This window comes from Homo sapiens, chromosome 19 (genome assembly GCF_000001405.40).
Source record: "Homo sapiens chromosome 19, GRCh38.p14 Primary Assembly".
Taxonomy (NCBI): Eukaryota; Metazoa; Chordata; class Mammalia; order Primates; family Hominidae; genus Homo; species Homo sapiens.
This window is the reverse complement of record NC_000019.10, coordinates 40,309,184-40,325,737: the sequence shown is the minus strand read 5'-3', so window position 1 is coordinate 40,325,737 and position 16,554 is coordinate 40,309,184. Positions and strand designations below refer to the sequence as shown.

At 49.8% G+C, this 16,554-nt stretch overlaps 1 protein-coding gene across 16 annotated transcripts in view, besides 1 other annotated feature; it reads left to right on the top strand.

Moving 5' to 3' along the window:
• The window catches only part of C19orf47 (chromosome 19 open reading frame 47), a 55,574-nt gene that overhangs the window by 22,790 nt on the left and 16,230 nt on the right, over positions 1-16,554 (top strand). For 9 of the 16 annotated variants that reach the window (NR_156465.2, NR_046202.2, XM_005258520.3 and 6 more), the window contains 2 exons: positions 1,662-1,732; positions 3,362-6,202. Coding sequence is in view for 14 of the 16 variants with exons in the window: in XM_005258520.3 (XP_005258577.1) it covers positions 1,662-1,732; positions 3,362-3,856 (566 nt within the window). In the remaining 2 variants the exon portion in view is untranslated. Of the gene's footprint in view, positions 1-1,661; positions 1,733-3,361; positions 6,203-16,554 lie in introns of those variants that run through there. The other 7 variants (XM_047438175.1, XM_017026293.3, XM_017026292.3 and 4 more) reach the window with 3 other exon arrangements.
• Positions 2,129-2,629: an enhancer, noted in NCBI's record as "H3K4me1 hESC enhancer chr19:40829016-40829516 (GRCh37/hg19 assembly coordinates)". NCBI's record gives its function as "activates a minimal SCP1, AML or CMV promoter by ChIP-STARR-seq in naive H9 embryonic stem cells {active_cell/tissue: H9 hESC(naive)}" and the evidence as "EXISTENCE:reporter gene assay evidence [ECO:0000049][PMID:30033119]".

The window sequence follows — 16,554 nt, the reverse complement described above, 5'->3', positions numbered from 1 at the left end:
TCACTCCCATATCCCCGTCTCTTGTTAACCTTTCCAGACCAGCATCTAGGTACATACATAACACATATATAGGCAGTTTTTTGTTTTTTAGTTTTAATTTTTATTTTTTTGTGATAGGGTCTCACTTCATCACCCAGGCTGGGGTTCAGTGGCACCTTGTCAACTCACTGCAGTCTCCTCGACCTCCCAGGTTCAAGCAGTCCTGCCTCAGCCTCCCGAGTAGCTGGGACTACAGGCTCATGCCACCATGCCCACCTAATTTTTGTATTTTTTGTAGAGAGGGGGTTTTGCCATGTTGCCCAGGCTGGTCTCAAACTCCTGAGCTCAAGTGATCTGCCTGCTTCACCTTTCCAAATTGCTAGGATTACAGGTATGAGCCACCACACTCAGCCTAGTTTTTCTTTTTTAAACACAAATAGTATTTGTGTTTAAAATGTAAGTATTGTTCTATAACTTTTTTTTTTTTTTGAAACGGAGTCTTGCTCTGTTACGCAGGCTGGAGTGCAGTGGCACAATCTTGGCTCACTGCAACTTCCGCTTCCTGAGTTCAAGTGATTCTCCTGCCTCAGTCTCCCAAGCATCTGGGATTACAGGTGCACGCCACCGTGCCCAGCTAATTTTTATATTTTTAGTAGAGACGGGGTTTCATCATGTTGGCCAGGCTGGTCTCAAACTCCTGACCTCGGGTGATCCACCTGCCTTGGCCTCTCAAAGTGCTGGGATTACAGGCGTGAGCCACCATGCCTGGACCTAACTTTTCTTTTCTTTTTTTTTTTTTGAGACAGAGTCTTGCTCTGTTGCCTGGGCTGGAGTGCTGTGGTACGAACACGGCTCACTGCAGCCTCGACCTCCTGGGTTCCTACCTTACCTCCCCAGTAGCAGGGACTATAGATGTGGGCCACCACGCCCAGCTAATTTTTAAATTCTGGTTTCTAACTCTTAGGCTCATGCGATCTGCCCACCACCACCTCCCACCATGTTGGGATTACAGACATGAGTCACCACTCTTGGCATGTTCTATAACTTTTTTGTTCATATATATATATTTAGACATGGGGTCTCACTATATTACCCAGGTTGTTCCCAAACTCCTGGGCTCAGGTGATCCACCTGCCTCAGCCTCCCAAAGGGATTACAGGTACACCCTGCCATGCCTGGCCCATGTTCCATAAATTTTTTGTTGAGATCTTCTCATATTAATGCAGGTAGATCTTCTTCATTCTTTTTTCAATGGTTGTTTATTATTTCCAGAGTATTCATATACCATAATTTAGTAACCATTCTATTGATGGCTATTAGGTTATAATTTAGGGGAGGATGCACTACCACTCATCAGATTCTCTCAGAGGTCCCTGACCCCAAGAAGTGAAAGGAACATGCAGGCACTAAGAACTCTTCCCGTGCACACAGTTCATGAGCTAGTGCTGAGGTGTAGGGAATCTGCCACTTGTAGCTGGTCTTTCCCACATTTGGCTCTAGCCAGATAGGGGTGGGTTAGGGTCAGTGTGAGCCAACAGTGTAGACATAACACCCAACTCAGCACAGTCTGGCCCTGCCTGTCCCAGAGCTACTGGTGTCTGGGCTGCCTTGGTGTCTGTACAGAGCTCAGCCTAGGCCTGGCCCACCGGGGCCTCTCCCTGATGGCTTCACTTCCCTCCCAGGTCTCCATAGGACGTCTGTGTTTGACCGCCTCGGCGCCGAGACCAAGGCAGACACCACGACAGGGAGTAAAGTGAGTGGGGATGGGGGAGCGATTCTGGGCGTGCGAGCTGTTGTCTTCCCTGAGCGGTGCTCCTGACTCTTTAACACATCTCAACCTCACTCGGCCCAGGGCCGTCTAACCTGCCTTTCCAGCCTCAGTTCCTGGCTTTGCACTGGCGGCTTTCCCATCTGTCTTCTGCCCTGGCTTCTCTCCCAGTTTCCAGCCCTGGGGGTCCAGTACTCCTGGATGCCTCCCACCCACCATGTCCCCAACTGGTCTTAGTGTCTTTCCCCAAGTCAGCCCTCTCCTGGGCCCCCATCTGAGGGCTGCCTGCCCTCCCCATTGCAGTCTGTCAGTGGGTCTGATGACTCTACTGTCTCTCCCTCCTCTGCCACCTCTCCCTGTCAGGATAGGATGATAGCCTCCTGAATGGTCTCGCACAGTTACCATGGACCCCAGCCCCTATCCCCACAGCAGCAGTGTGTGCGGCCCACAGGACAGGGCCCGTCCCCTCACTGGAAGCCCTGCAGAGGCTCTTCACTGTGCCCATGATGCAGCCTGTACTTCCTGCCGCGGCCCGCAGTCCCACAGGCCCCAGGCCTGGTGTGTAGCTCAGAGTACACCCTGAAGCCCACAGGGGCCTGACTGCGTGGCTTTGGCCATGTCACTTAAGTCCTTTGTACTTCAGCCTCCTCATCTGTATAGACCCACCTCCAAGGATGGCTGTAGAGTTAAGATCATCCCCGCATGGTGCTGGGGTGTGCGGCGCCTGTTGGTGAACTATTGCAGAGCCTCCCAGCTGCGTTTCCTGCCTGCCAGTGTCCTGCTCTGCAGGGTGCAGCAACTCGGGCTTGCTCACTTCCAAGAATCTTACCATGAGGAGGATGGGAACACTCGGGATCATGTGGCTGGAAGTTCCAGCCCTATGAAGAGCTGGGCGCATAGCGAGTGCTCAATACATAGGATTATACTTCCTGCCTTCAGGGCATAGCACATACTCTTTTCTTTGCTAATTCATCTTGGAGGGCCTGGCTTCAAAGTTGGTGCCTCAGGGAAAGTTCCTCTGGACTGATGAGGAGCCACCCCTGTCTTCTGCCCTCCAGCTGTCCTTCTCCGTCTAGAATGCGTTACTGTCATTCTTGCAGAATTATTTGTGTCATTTCTGATGCCAAGCCTGTCTTCCCCACTGGACTGTGAGCCCCATGCGGGCAGCGCTGAGGCTGTCTTGGTCATCACTGTGTCCCTAGCACTGCCGGCCTAGGACCAGGTACAATATAGAATTGGGACTCAAAATATTCGTGGAGTGAATGACCAGATTAATCTCTCCACTCCACTCATGCCCACCTATTGACCTTGCAAATGACATTCCCTTTGTGCGGCACTCCCGTCCTCTTCCCTCTTTCTTAGACCTACTTCCAGCTCAGATGTCCCCCCTCTCAGGGCGCCCTCCCTGAACTTCTAGGAAGGTCAGGTACTTCCTCTGGGCTCCTCCAGTCCCCTGGACTCCCCCATCATGGCTCTCGCCACTATCTGGGGTGTCAGTGATGGGTGTTTCTCCCAACTGTGAGTCCCAGGAGGCCAGGCACAGAGGAAGCAGCTCTCCATGAATGTGTGTTGAGTGACTCAGTGACTCATTCATCCTGTCTCTGACCTCCACAGCCCACAGGAGTCTTCAGCCGCCTGGGGGCCACCCCAGAAACGGACGAGGATCTGGCTTGGGACAGCGACAATGACAGCAGCAGCTCTGTCTTGCAGTATGCCGGGGTCCTGAAGAAGCTAGGACGGGGCCCAGCCAAGGCCAGTCCCCAGCCAGCACTGACTGTCAAAGCCAAGGCCACAAGCTCAGCGACAACGGCTGCTGCCCCGACACTGCGGCGCCTGGCGCTTTCCTCACGGTCTGGGCTTGAGAGGAAGCCGGAGTCCTTGTCTAAAGTCAGCATCATCAAGAGACTGGGCGCAGCTGCCCTTGTGCCCGAGGCCCAGGACAGCCAGGTCACCAGCACCAAGAGTAAGTCCTCAGCCGAGGTCAAGGTCACCATTAAGAGGACTCTGGTGGGGCCCCGGGGGAGCAGCTCCAGCGAGGGCCTTGGTGCCCAGATGGACCACGCGGGCACTGTGAGCGTGTTCAAAAGACTGGGCCGCAGGACCTTCTAGCCCACCTGTGGGCGGGGTGCAGGCAGCAGAGCCTGCGGGCATCTGCCCTGGCCGCCCCAGGCTCCTGGCTTCATCACGCCTCCCACCAGCTCCTGGATGACACAGCTTGTCTCCCTCGGGCTCTAGAGCTAGGCCCGAGCATTCGGGGGATCACCCCATTTCTCCTAGCCTGGGATGGTCGTCGCAGCTGGCCTGGCCTGCTCCAGGACTCCCCTTCTCTCATGTCCTCTGTGCTTTCTTCTCTGGCTGTGGCCTTGGCAGAACCCACTTTTCTACCTCTCCCAAGTGCCAGGGGGCTTCTTCCTCTCCTACATTCCCCTTCTTCCCCTGAGCAGGGTCTGCTGCCTCAGACCCCAGCTCATCAGCCTCCCTGTCCCCCTCAACTAAGTGGGTGTCACCTGGTGGGCCTCCCTTCCCCCACTCCCCACTGACCTCCCTCACTCCTCTGCGCCTCCCCCCACTGCTGTGACTTCTCTCTCTCCCTGTCTTCACTTTGTTCATTTCTCTTCTGTTTTCTGTCCCCGTGGCAAGGCCCGACTGTCCGCTGCGTCCTGCCCGACCCTCCTGTACCTCCGGCCTCCCAGCGGCCCCCTCGTCGGCGGTGGCGTCGAGCCTGTTGAGACTGTTAGCCGCCCTCTACTCCCAGGCTGGAGGGACCTCTCCAGACCCTGGGCTGCGGCTGAGGCGCATCCGTTTTCCTGCCCTGGGCATCTGTCTCTGAAAGTGTATGGCGGGTGGTGGGCAAGGGGCACTGGGAAGGGAGGCCAGTGCCTAGAGTGAAGACAGCTGCTGTTTTAATATATTTTTGTGACTTTCAAATCATTTCCCCCACTCCTTCAGGGTGAGTTGCAGGACTGTTTCACACTATGCGCAGCTGGGCTGGGGATGGTGGCAGAGGATTGGGCTGTGTCTCTAAAGGTCAGGCTTCCTGCACACACATGGTCCATGTCCCTGCTGCAAGCCCTGAGTCAGGGGGAGTAATGGCCACAGTCACCATTCAGTTAGGCCGCCCCCTGCCCCCAATAAGCCGTAGTGGTTTTGTCACTCTATCCCCTCCCCCCATGGATTTCACCTGCCTGCTGGCACCTTTCCAAATGATGGGCTCCGTTTGTGAGACCATGAGTTTCCACTGGTTTGGTCGCCCACCCCTCCCTGCTGCACAGCGCCCCTGAGCCAGGCCTGTCCTAGGAGCTGGTAGCAGGTAGTGAGCAGGGCCTCTCCAGGGATGGGGTGTAGGTAAAGCGGTGGTGCTGGCCAAGGAATCTGAGGAGTGGGAGAAAGTGGCCAGGGCCGCTTCAGTGGTTGTGGATAGGAAGGCCTTGCAGAAGGGGTGACATGGAGGCCAAGTTGGGAATGTGGCTTCATGAAGTTCAGGAGGAGAGCTTTCAGACAGAGGGACAGCCAGGGGCAGAGGTGCTGAGGTGGGACAAGGAACAGGAAGAAGGCTGGTGGCTGTGGGTGAGGGTGGGCCCTGCCTCCAGCATGAGGCAGAGGTGGGTGGGCAGGGGCTAGGTGGCTGGGGGTGTTGTGATCAAGGAGGAGGAATGTGCACAGTGACCCGGGAGTGCTGGATCGGGAGGATTTGGAGCTGGGATGTGCTGAGCTGAGTTTCATTTAGGATCATCGCTCTGGCTTCTGTGAGGAGAAGGAATGGCTGGGAGGGCTGGGGTGGATGCCACTGCAGCAGTCCAGGCAGGAAGCCAGGATGGCTGCGAGGGCATGGCAGTGGGGAGCAGGGAAGAGGGCCGCTTGGGCTGCTTAGGGTGTGCTTTGGAGGAAGAGCTGTGGGATGTGCTGATGGGTTGGAAGTTGGGGCTAGAGAAGATGAGAATCATAGGGCCCGCCTAGATGTTAGACCGGAGCATCTGGGGGAACGGCTGTTAACAGAGAAGGGGAGACGGGAGGAAGGTCAAGGAAGAGGGAGCTGTGTTCTGACTGCATTGCGCCTGTTAGGGTCCCCGCTGGGGCTCAGGCGGACACCTGGGCTGGGGGTTCATGGCTGCTGACAGTGCGCAGGGTACAGCTGGAATCAAAGCCAAGGGCCTTGGCTGGGCGTGGTGGCTTACGCTTGTAATCCCAGCAGTTTGGGAGGCCAAGGCGGGTGGATCACAAGGTCAGGAGTTCGAGACCAGCCTGGCCAAGATGGTGAAACCCCGTCTCTACTAAAAATACAAAAATTAGCCGGGTGTGGTGACAGGTGCCTGTAATCCCGGCTACTTAGGAGGCTGAGGCAGGAGGATCGCTTGAACCCGGGAGGTGGAGGTTGCAGTGAGCTGAGATCGTGCCACTGCACTCCAGCCTAGGCAACAAGAGCGAGACTCCATCTCAAAAAAAAAAAAAAAAAAAGCCAAGGGCCTGGTAATACCAGCTGGAAAGGGATCATAGAGATTGGAGGGAATCTGGGGCCCTTTCCCTGTTTAGAGAACAGGAACTGACAAAAAGAGACAGCCTAGGAGAGGTCAGGGGGTTGGAGGAGAATTAATGAGAGAGCAGGTAAAGATGAGACTAGATCTCATCCGTTTATTTATTTATTTTCATTGTGTGAAAATATACCTCGTGAAATTTACAATTTTAACCATTTTATTTTATTTTTATTGTTTATTTTTTTTTTGAGTTAGAGTTTTGCTCTTGTTGCCCAGGCTGGAGGACAATGTCATGATCTTGGCTCACTGAAACCTCCACCTCCAGGGTTCCAGCTATTCTCCTGCCTCAGCCTCCCTGGTAGCTGGGATTACAGGCACCTGCCACCACTCCCAGCTAATTTTCATATTTTTAGTAGATGGGGTTTCACCACGTTGGCCAGGCTGGTCTCGAACTCCTGACCTTAGGTGATCCGCCCGCCTCAGCCTCCCAAAGTGCTGGGATTACAGGTGTGAGCCACTGCGCCTGGACCATTTTAACTATTTTAAACTGTACCATTCAGTGGCATTAAGTACTTTCACACTGTTGTGTACCCTTCGCCATCATCCATCTCCAGAACTTCTTTCATCTTCCTAAATCCATTATTTTCAGTTTTTCAGTTACGTCATATTGGGGGCTGACTGTGTGTCATGCAGTGTCCCAGGCACTGGGGATGGGGTGTGAAGGGCCGGACTTCAGGATGAGGGACAACTGTAGAGAGCAGTAATAGATGCCTTTCTCTGTGGGGGCCCAGGCTAGACCCTCCTGAGACTGGCTGAGGCCTGACCTCAAAGGACAGCAAATGCTGGCCCTCAGATTCCAGGGGCCGCCCCTTCAGGTCATTGCCACCAGGAAGAGCTCACACATGCGCACTTTCCCTGCTGAGCTTCAGCCTTCTTTGTTTCCTAATAATTTCCTCTGATTCTACTTCATAGGTAATTTTAACAACTGCTGGGGTGAACTGGAAGAGTTCCAGTTGCTAAATTTAAGAGCCATGGTAATTTCTCAATGTGTAATAGGAACTGCAATGATATAAAAACATATATAGGTAATTTACCACACAGGGTTTAGCTGTGCCAGGGAGATTCTCTTATTGTTGCGCTTTACAGAGGCACAGAGAGGGGAGTTAACTGCTGAAGGCCTCACCCAGCTGGCGGGTGGCAGGACTGAGTTTGACCCCAGGGAGCAGACTTCAGAATCCTTGCCCGTTAATCCCTACCCTGTGGTGCCTTTTAAAAATTTTTATTTTATTTTATATTTTATGGAGACGAGGTCTCACTATGTACCCTATGCTGGGCTCGAACTCTTGGGATCAAGTGATCCTCTCTCACCGGCCTCCCAAAGTGCTGGGATTACAGACATGAGCCACTGCACCCAGCCACCTGGGCTGCCTTGATAGCAGATTTGAAACATAGCCCTTTTGGAGAAGGGTCAAGGCGGAGGTCTTAAGACAGTGATTTTGGACCTGGCATGGTGGCTTACGCCTGTAATCCCAGCACTTTGGGAGGCTGAGGCAGGTGGATCACTTGGAAGTCAGGAGTTCAGGACCAGCCTGGCCAACATGGCAAAACCCCATCTCTACTAAAAATACAAAAATTGGCCGGTGTGTTGGTGCACGCCTGTAATCACAGCTACTTGGGAGGCTGAGACACGAGAATCACTTGAACCCAGGAGGCGGAGGTTGCCGTGAGCAGAGATCATACCACTACACTCCAGCCTGGGCGACAGAGTGAGACTGTCTCAAAAAAAAAAACAAAAAAAAAACAGTGGATTTGGACTCTCTAGAGTTGTCCATGTGTAGATGTCCGCACCAACCTTATTGGCTTGTCCTAGGAAGCATTTGCAGCTAGGATGCTGCTCGCCTTGAGAGCCACATCCTTGTGACCTGAGCCGATGCCGCCTCCACCTCCCAGCTGCTCCAGAGTCACAGTGGCCCACCCGTTATACATTTGACTTGGCAGTTCTCCCGAGCCCGCCCCAACAGCCATGACCCACAGGGGTAGATTTTTTTTTTTCACTGATTCTATTAAGCACTTTTTACTTTTAGTTTTTTAGAGACAGGGTCTTTCTATGTTGCCCAGGCTGGTCTCAAACTACTAGTCTCAAGCAATCCTCCCATCTCAGCTTTCCAAAGTGTTGGGATTACAGGCATGAGCCACCATGCCCTGTCTGTTAGGCATTTTTGAGCATAAATAATACATTCACAGCCACGTTTGGTGGATCATGCCTGTATTCCCAGCTACTTGTAAGGCTGAGGTGGGAGGATCCCTTGAGCCCAGGAGGTTGAAGCTGCAGTGAGCTGTGATCGCACCACTGCAACTCCACTTGGGCAACAGAGCAAGACTCTTGTCTCGAAAAAAAAAAATTAAGAATACATTCACATGGTTCAAAATGCAAAAGATACAAAAGTCTCTACAGTGAAAAGTATCTTCCCATGTCTCCTAGCCCCCTAGTCCCTTCCTCAGAGACTACAAATGTTAACCAATTTCTTGTGTAATCTTTCCAGTGAGATGTACACACACACACACACACACAGCAGAGGAGCATATAGGATCCATGTACAAGCATACACGTGTCTTAGTAGTCTAATTTATTTAACCAGTTCCTTTTTGAAGGAAATTCAGGTTGTTTCCTACCTCGTGCTATTACAAGTAGTCCTAGAATGAACAATTTTCCTTACACATGGGATCAATTCAGGGGTGACTTCGAAGAACACATTATTACATTACATTATTTAAGTGCAAATACTGGTGATGAGTCCGTTGCAGATCTGAACTAGCCTCTCCTCCAAGATGATTGGCATCCTTCAGGTGATTTATTTACACAGTGACCACCCCATTTCATAAAGGAATGAAGAGCAGTTGGACTCTTCCAGCTGGAGACCGCTGGAGGAGTTGGGTCAGGGGATGCTGAGAGCTAACGTTGACTACCACCTGTGTGCCAGGAAGTACTAAATCAACGCTTGGCTAAGTTGTTGGACTTGTCGAATCCTGAGGGCAACATCATAAAAGGCAGGGTCTTCCTATTCTCATCCCATAAACGGATGAGGAGATGGTGGTGCAGCGAGCCCAGGGCTCATGCTGAATGGCAGAACCAGACCTGCAGCAGCCCAGCAGAGTGATTCTGTGTGGATGGTCGCCCTGAGACAAGGCCACCTCTGGACACATCCCTTCCTCTGGTAGCCCACATCAGTGGATACTAAAGCCAGATGCAAACTAGCAGTATCTGTGGCAAGTGGCCAAGGCCTGGGCCAGCCTCAGCCCCCCTTTCTCCAGTGCCCAAGCCCCCTGCTGCTGAGATGAGCCAAGAGTTGAGCTGCAGCCACCTCCACCCCTCCTTTGGGCATCTGACCTGAGTTAGTTTGGCAAGTGCTGCAACTATAGACCCAACTTTGAAGGCCTGTCGGGGTCCTGCAGCAGAGGAGACATTTCCCTTTGCAAAATCAGGGCTAAATCTCTCTCTCTCTCTCTCTTTTTTTTTTTGTAATAGACTTTATTTTTAGAACAGCTTTATTTATTCATTTATAGATAGGGGCTTGCTCTGTCACCCAGACTGGAGTGCAGTGGTATGATCCCAGCTCACTGTAGCCTCCACCTACCAGGCTCAAGTGATCCTATTGCCTCAGCCTCCTGAGTACCTGGGGCTACGGGCACCTGCCACCATGCTCAGCTAATTTTTTAATTTAAATTTTTTTTTTTTTTTGAGATGGAGTGTCACTCTCTCGCCCAGGCTGGAGTGCAGTGGGGTGATCTCGGCTCACTGTAGCCTGCGTCTGCCGGGTTCAAGCAATTCTCCTGCCTCAGCCTCCTGAGTGGCTGGGATTACAGGCATGCGCCACCATGCCTGGCTAATTTTTTATTTTTAGTAGATATGGGGTTTCACCGTGTTAACCAGGCTGGTCTCGAATTCCTGACCTCAGGCGATTTGCTCACTTCGGCCTCCCAAAGTGCTGGGATTACAGGCGTGAGCCACCATGCCCGGCCAGTTGTTTTTTTTCTTGTAGAGACGAGGTCTCACTATATTGCCCTAGCTGGTCTCAGATTCCTGAGCTCAAGCGATGTACTCACCTCAGCCTCCCAAAATGTTGGGATTACAGGCATGAGCCACCACACCTGGCCTTAGAATAGTTTTAGAGTTGCAGAAAAAATTGAGAAGATAGTGCAGAGAGCTGCTGTATACCCCACGCTCAGTTACTCCTAATATTAATGACATCTGACATTGGGGTGGTACGTTTGTCACAATTAATGAAATAATATCGATCCATTAGTATTAACTAAAGTCTATAGTTTATTCAGATTGCCTTAGTTTTGCCTAATGTATTTTACTGTTCCAGGATCTCATATGACATTATGTTATCAAATTTGATAACATTCTGGCTCCAGACATTTATATTGACAAGTAAGGAGTTGTCGTGTCTCCTTAGGTTCCTCTTGGCTAGGGCAGTTGCTCAGACTTTCTTTGGTTTTGATGCCTACTTTGATAGTTTCGAAGAGTTCTGGTCAGACATATTATGGGATGCCCCTCAGCTGGGATTTGTCTGATATTTTTCTCATGATTACACTGGAGTTACGTGTTTTTTGGAGGAAGACCTCAAAGGGGAAGTGTCATTTCATCACATATCAAGGGGACACACTGACCACATGATTCACCACTGTTTTTGTTCATCCTGATCACCTGTTTGTCAAGTTTCTCCACTTTGTAAAGCTACTCTTCTTTCTCCCTTTACACCTTGTCCTCTTTGGAAGGAATTCACTGCACAGCCTGCATGTAAGGAGTTGGGGGGTTTATGCTCCATCTCCTTGGGGGCAAGGGATTTACATAAATTATTTGGAATTCTTCTGCAAAGGAAATGTGTCTCTTCTCCTCATTTAGTAACTTAGTCATTTATTTTTATGAGTTTGGACTCAGGGATATTTACTTTGTATTTGAGGTTATCATCCAACGTTACTTTCTTTATTTTGTCACTCACATTAGTCTGACTTTGGCCATGGGGAGCTCTTTCAGTTGGTTCCAGAGTCCCTTTGACTTGTTATACTCCCATTGTTTTTGTTTTTGAGACGGAGTTTCGTTCTTGTTGCCCAGGCTGGAGTGCAATGGTGCAATCTCAGCTCACCACAACCTCCGCCTCCTGAGTTCAAGTGATCTCCTGCCTTAGCCTCCTGAGTAGCTGGGATTACAGGCACATGCCACGATGCCTGGCTAATTTTTGTATTTTTAATAGAGATGGGGTTTCATCATATTGTTCAGGCTGGTCTTGAACTTCTGACCTCAGTTGATCTGCCCGCCTCAGCCTCCCAAAGTGCTGGGATTATAGGCGTGAACCACCGCACCCAGCCTTGTTTTTGTTTTTACTGTGTCCTTACTTTCAGGCTCTAGAGATGCTGCAGGCTCATCTTGAATATTTCCTGCCCCAGTCCTGGAGCCAACCATTTTTCCAAGGAGCCTGGTCCTTTTAATTGCAGAACAGTGGTGGAAACCAAGATCTAGGCATGAGATGTGCTTGGCTGCTACTGGAGCCTCCCTTCTTTTTTTCTATACCTTTTTTTTTTTTGAGACAGAGTCTCCCTCTGTTGCCCAGGCCAGAGTGCAGTGGTGTAATCTCACTGCAGCCTCTGCCTCCCGAGTAGCTGGGATTATGGAGACAGGATCTTGCTCTGTCACCCAGGCCAGATTGCAGAGGCACAATCGTAGCTTACTGCAGCCTTGAACTCCTGGACTCAGATGATCCTCCTGCCTCTTGCCTGTAATTGTAGGAATTACAGGCATGAGCCATCATACCCAGTGACAACTCCCTTTTAGAAAATGAAGCCTTAATATGGAACCCCAATGTGTAAATCATTCTTAAAAAGGAAAAGCGGGCTGGGCATGGTGGCTCATGCCTGTAATCCCAACACTTGGGGAGGCCAAGGCAGGCAGATCTCTTCAGCCCAGGAGTTCCAGACCAGACTGGGCAACATGGTGAAACTCCATCTCTACAAAAAATTTAAAAATTAGCTCGGCGTGGTGGCGCATGGCTGTAGTCCCAGCTGCTTGGGTGGCTGAGGCAGGAGGATCACTTGAGCGCAACAGGTAGAAGCTGCAGTGAGCTGTGATCACGACACTGCACTCTAGCCTGGGCAACAGAGTGAGCCCCTGTCTCGAAAAAATAAAAAATTTAAAAAAGCAACATTACTATAGGTTTAAGCACTTATTTTGGATTAATTCATGGGAACAGTACAAAATTCCAGTCCTTAAAAGGATATGAAATAAGACCATTGTGCACCCAGTAGACTGGCAAAAACCTTAAGTCTCAAGTGTTAGGGAAGATTTGGAGTAATGGGAGGATATACTTTGCTGATGGAATGTAAGCTGGTACCAACCATCTTGGAAAATAGTTTGGTAGGTTGTGGTAAAGTTGAAGGTGACACACTTTCCAACCCAGCAGTTACTCTCCTAGCAAATATATACCCTGGAGAAACTTCCACGTACATGCAAAAGACATGTATGAGAATGTTCACAGCAGTGCTGTTTGTAATAGCATAAATGTGGAAACAAATATCCAGCAACTGGAGAATGGACAGATTGTGGCATAGTTGTTCCAGTTACCTAATGCATCACTAATCACCCCAAAACTTAGTGGCTTAAATTAACAATCATTTTATTATCTCTTATAGTCCCAGGGGTTGACTGGACTTAATTAGGCTGTTATCACTTGGGGGCGCTCATGTGATTTTAGTAAGATGTTGGCTGAGGTTGGTGTCGTCTTAAAACTTCCTCAGATACCTGGTGGTTAACCAGTACTGGCACTTATCTGGGGCCCAGCTTGGGCTGCCAGCCAGAATGCCTACACATGACTTCTTCCTGTGGCCTGTGCTTCCTTACAGCATGGCAGCTGGGTTTCAAGAAGGAGCTTCTTGAGAGCCAGAGGAAACTGTATGGCCTTTTCTTTTTTTTTTTTGAGATGGAGTCTCGCTCTGTCGCCCAGGCTGGAGTGCAGTGGTGCGATCTCAGCTCACTGCAAGCTCCGCCTCCTGGGTTCACGCCATTCTCCTGCCTCAGCCTCCCAAGTAGCTGGGACTACAGGCGCCCGCCACCATGCCTGGCTAATTTTTTGTATTTTTAGTAGAGATGGGGTTTCACCATATTGGCCAGGATAGTCTCGATCTCGACCTCGTGATCCGACCGCCTCGGCCTCCCAAAGTGCTGGGATTACAGGCGTGAGCCACCATGCCCAGCCCTGTATGGCCTTTTCTAACCTAGCATTGGAAGCCACAGGGCTTCACTTCTGCCACAGTCACTGGCCCATCAGATTCAGGAGGAGGCATGATAGATCCCACTTCTCAGTAAGAGGAAGTCAACATCTCCTTGTAAGAAGAGCATGTGGGATGAGAACTCGCATTGTGGTCATGTTGGAAAATAAGACACCAGTGTTGGATGCATTATGTTTTACATATTGGATGTGGGATAGTGTACATCAATGAAAATGAACTAATGTTGCACATATCAATATGAATAAACTAAAACACTGAGTGAAAAAAGCAAATTGGGCCGGGCATGGTGGCTCACACCTGTAATCCCTGCACTTTGGGAGGCCAAAGCAGGTGGATCACTTGAGGTCAGGAGTTCCAGACCAGCCTGGCCAACATGGTGAAACCCTGTCTCTACTAAAAATACAAAAATGTAGCCAGGCGTGATGGTATAGGCCTGTAGTCCCAGCTGCTCAGGAGGCTGAGGCAGGAGAGTCGCTTGAACCCAGGAGGCAGACATTGCAGTGAGCCGAGATTGTGCCACTGCATTCTAGCCTGGGCGACCCAGCAAGACTCCACATCTCCCTTCACTGCATCATGTGAGGGACTCCGCCACCTGAAGGAAGTGTGAGCCTGTGAAAGCGCAAGGTGTGGGGTAAGACAGTGGGGCTCCTTGTGTTTATTTTTTATTTTTATTTATTATTATTATTTTTTGAGACAGGGTCTTGCTCTGTCGCCCAGGCTAGACTGCAGTGGTGCGATCTCAACTCACTGCACTCTCCGCCTCTCAGGGTCAAGTGATCCTCCCACCTCAGCCTCCTGAGTATCTGGGACTACAGGTGCGTGCCACCACGTTTGGCTAATTTTTTTTTTTTTGAGACCGAGTTTTGCTCTTGTTGCCCAGGCTGGAGTGCAATGGCGTGATTTTGGCTCACCGCAACCTGTGCCTCCCGGGTTCAAGCGATTCTCCTGCCTCAGCCTCCCAAGTAGCTGAGATTACAGGCATGCGCCACCATGCCTGGCTAATTTTTTTGTATTTTTAGTAGAGACGGGGTTTCTCCGTGTTGGTCAGGCTGGTCTCAAACTCCCAACCTCAGGTGATCCGCCCGCCTCGGCCTCCCAAAGTGCTGGGATTGCAGTCGTGAGCCACTGCACCCGGCCCAATTTTTGCAGGTTTTTTTGTAGAGAAGGGGGCTTGCTATGTTGCCCACGTTGGTCTTGAAGTCCTGGACTCAAGCAATCCGCTCACCTCGGCCTTCCAAAGTGCTGGGATTATAGGTGTGAGCCACTGCGCCTGGTGTAATGGTTTTTAAAACTGGGCGGTAGGCACATGGTATTCATTGTGTTAATTTTTATGTATTTTTGGGCATCTCTTATTTTAAAAATAACAATTCTGCTTCTACTCTGGATCCGTCAGTCATCCAGTTCCCCTCTCCAGAGGCAGTCAGTGTTACTGGAGTTTTATGAGTTCCCCCAGAAATATCTGTATATTTACAAACATAATTATATTTTCTTACTCAGATGGTTACATATCTAATAGTTTTACACTTTGCTTTTTTCACTTAATATACCTTGGAGATTGTTTTATATTAGTACATAAAGAGCTTTTAGAAAAACAGCTCTACTGAGATATAATTCATGTATCAGACAATTCACTCATTTAAAGTGAACAATTCGGCTGGGTGCGGTGGCTCACATGTTTAATCCCAGCACTTTTGGAAGGCGGAGGTGGGCGGATCACCTCAGGTCAGGAGTTCGAGACTACCCTGGCCAACATGGTGAAACTCCATCTCTACTAAAGATACAAAAATTAGCGGGGTGTGGTGGCACACGCCTGTGATCCCAGGTACTTGGGAGGCTGAGGCACGAGAATCGCTTGAACCTGAGATCATGCCACTGCACTCCAGCCCAGGCTGGTCTTGAACTCCTGTGCTCAAGTGATCCTCCAGCCTCAGCCTCTGAAAGCACTGGGATTATACATGTGAGCCACCGTGGCTGGCCTGTATTCCTTTTTTTTTTTGAGATGGAGTCTCACTCTGTCACCAGGCATGTATCAGAGTTTCATTCCTTTATCGGCTAAATAATATTCCATTGTATGGATGTATTACATTTGTTTATCTATGAGTTGATGGACATTTGGGTTGTTTATACTTTTGGGCTATTGTGAATAATGCTGCTATCAATATTCAGGTACAAGTATTCTGTGTAGACATATGTTTTCAATTCTCTTGGGTATATACCCTAGCAGTAGAATTGTTGGGTCATATGATAATTCTATTTTTAACCATCTGAAGAACTGCCAGACTGTTTTCCATCAGCTGTATGATCTTACATTTCCACCAGCAGTATATGAGGGTCCCATTTTCTCCACATCCTCACCAACACTTACTAGTATCTGACTTTTTGATTATAGTTGTCCTAGTGGGTGTTAAATGGCATCTTACTGTGGTGTTGATTTGCATTTCCTGATAGCTAATGATGTTAAGCATATTTTATTTAGTGTCCTTATTGGAAAAAGCTCCTTTTAAAGTAACTGCATATTTTGTTGCATATTCTTTTTTTTTTTTTTGAGATAAGGTCGCTCTGCCACCCAGGAGCAAGTACTCTGTAAAATGTTCGTGGGGAGGAAAGGCAACTTCAAGGGACAACTTTCCTATGATGAATTTAGGTTTAAGTGCTCTGAGCCCCTGCCTCAATTTGACACTCAAATGATGCAAAAATCAGTCCTGAATTATGCAAGGTTTAACCAAAATAAAAGAGAGAAATAGGCGAGGCACGGTGGCTCCCGCCTGTAATCCCAGCACTTTGGGAGGCTGAGGCCGGCAGATCACCTGAGGTCAGAAGTTCGAAACCAGCCTGACCAACATGGAGAAACCCCGTCCCTACTAAAAATACAAAAATTAGCCAGGAGTGGTGGCGCATGCCTGTAATCCCAGCTACTCAGGCTGAAGCAGGAGAATCGCTTGAACCTGGGAGTTGGAGGTTGTAGTGAGCTGAGACCGAGCCACTGTACACCAGCCTGGGTGACAGAGTGAGACTGTGTCTCAAAAAAAAAAAAAAAAGAGAGAGAGA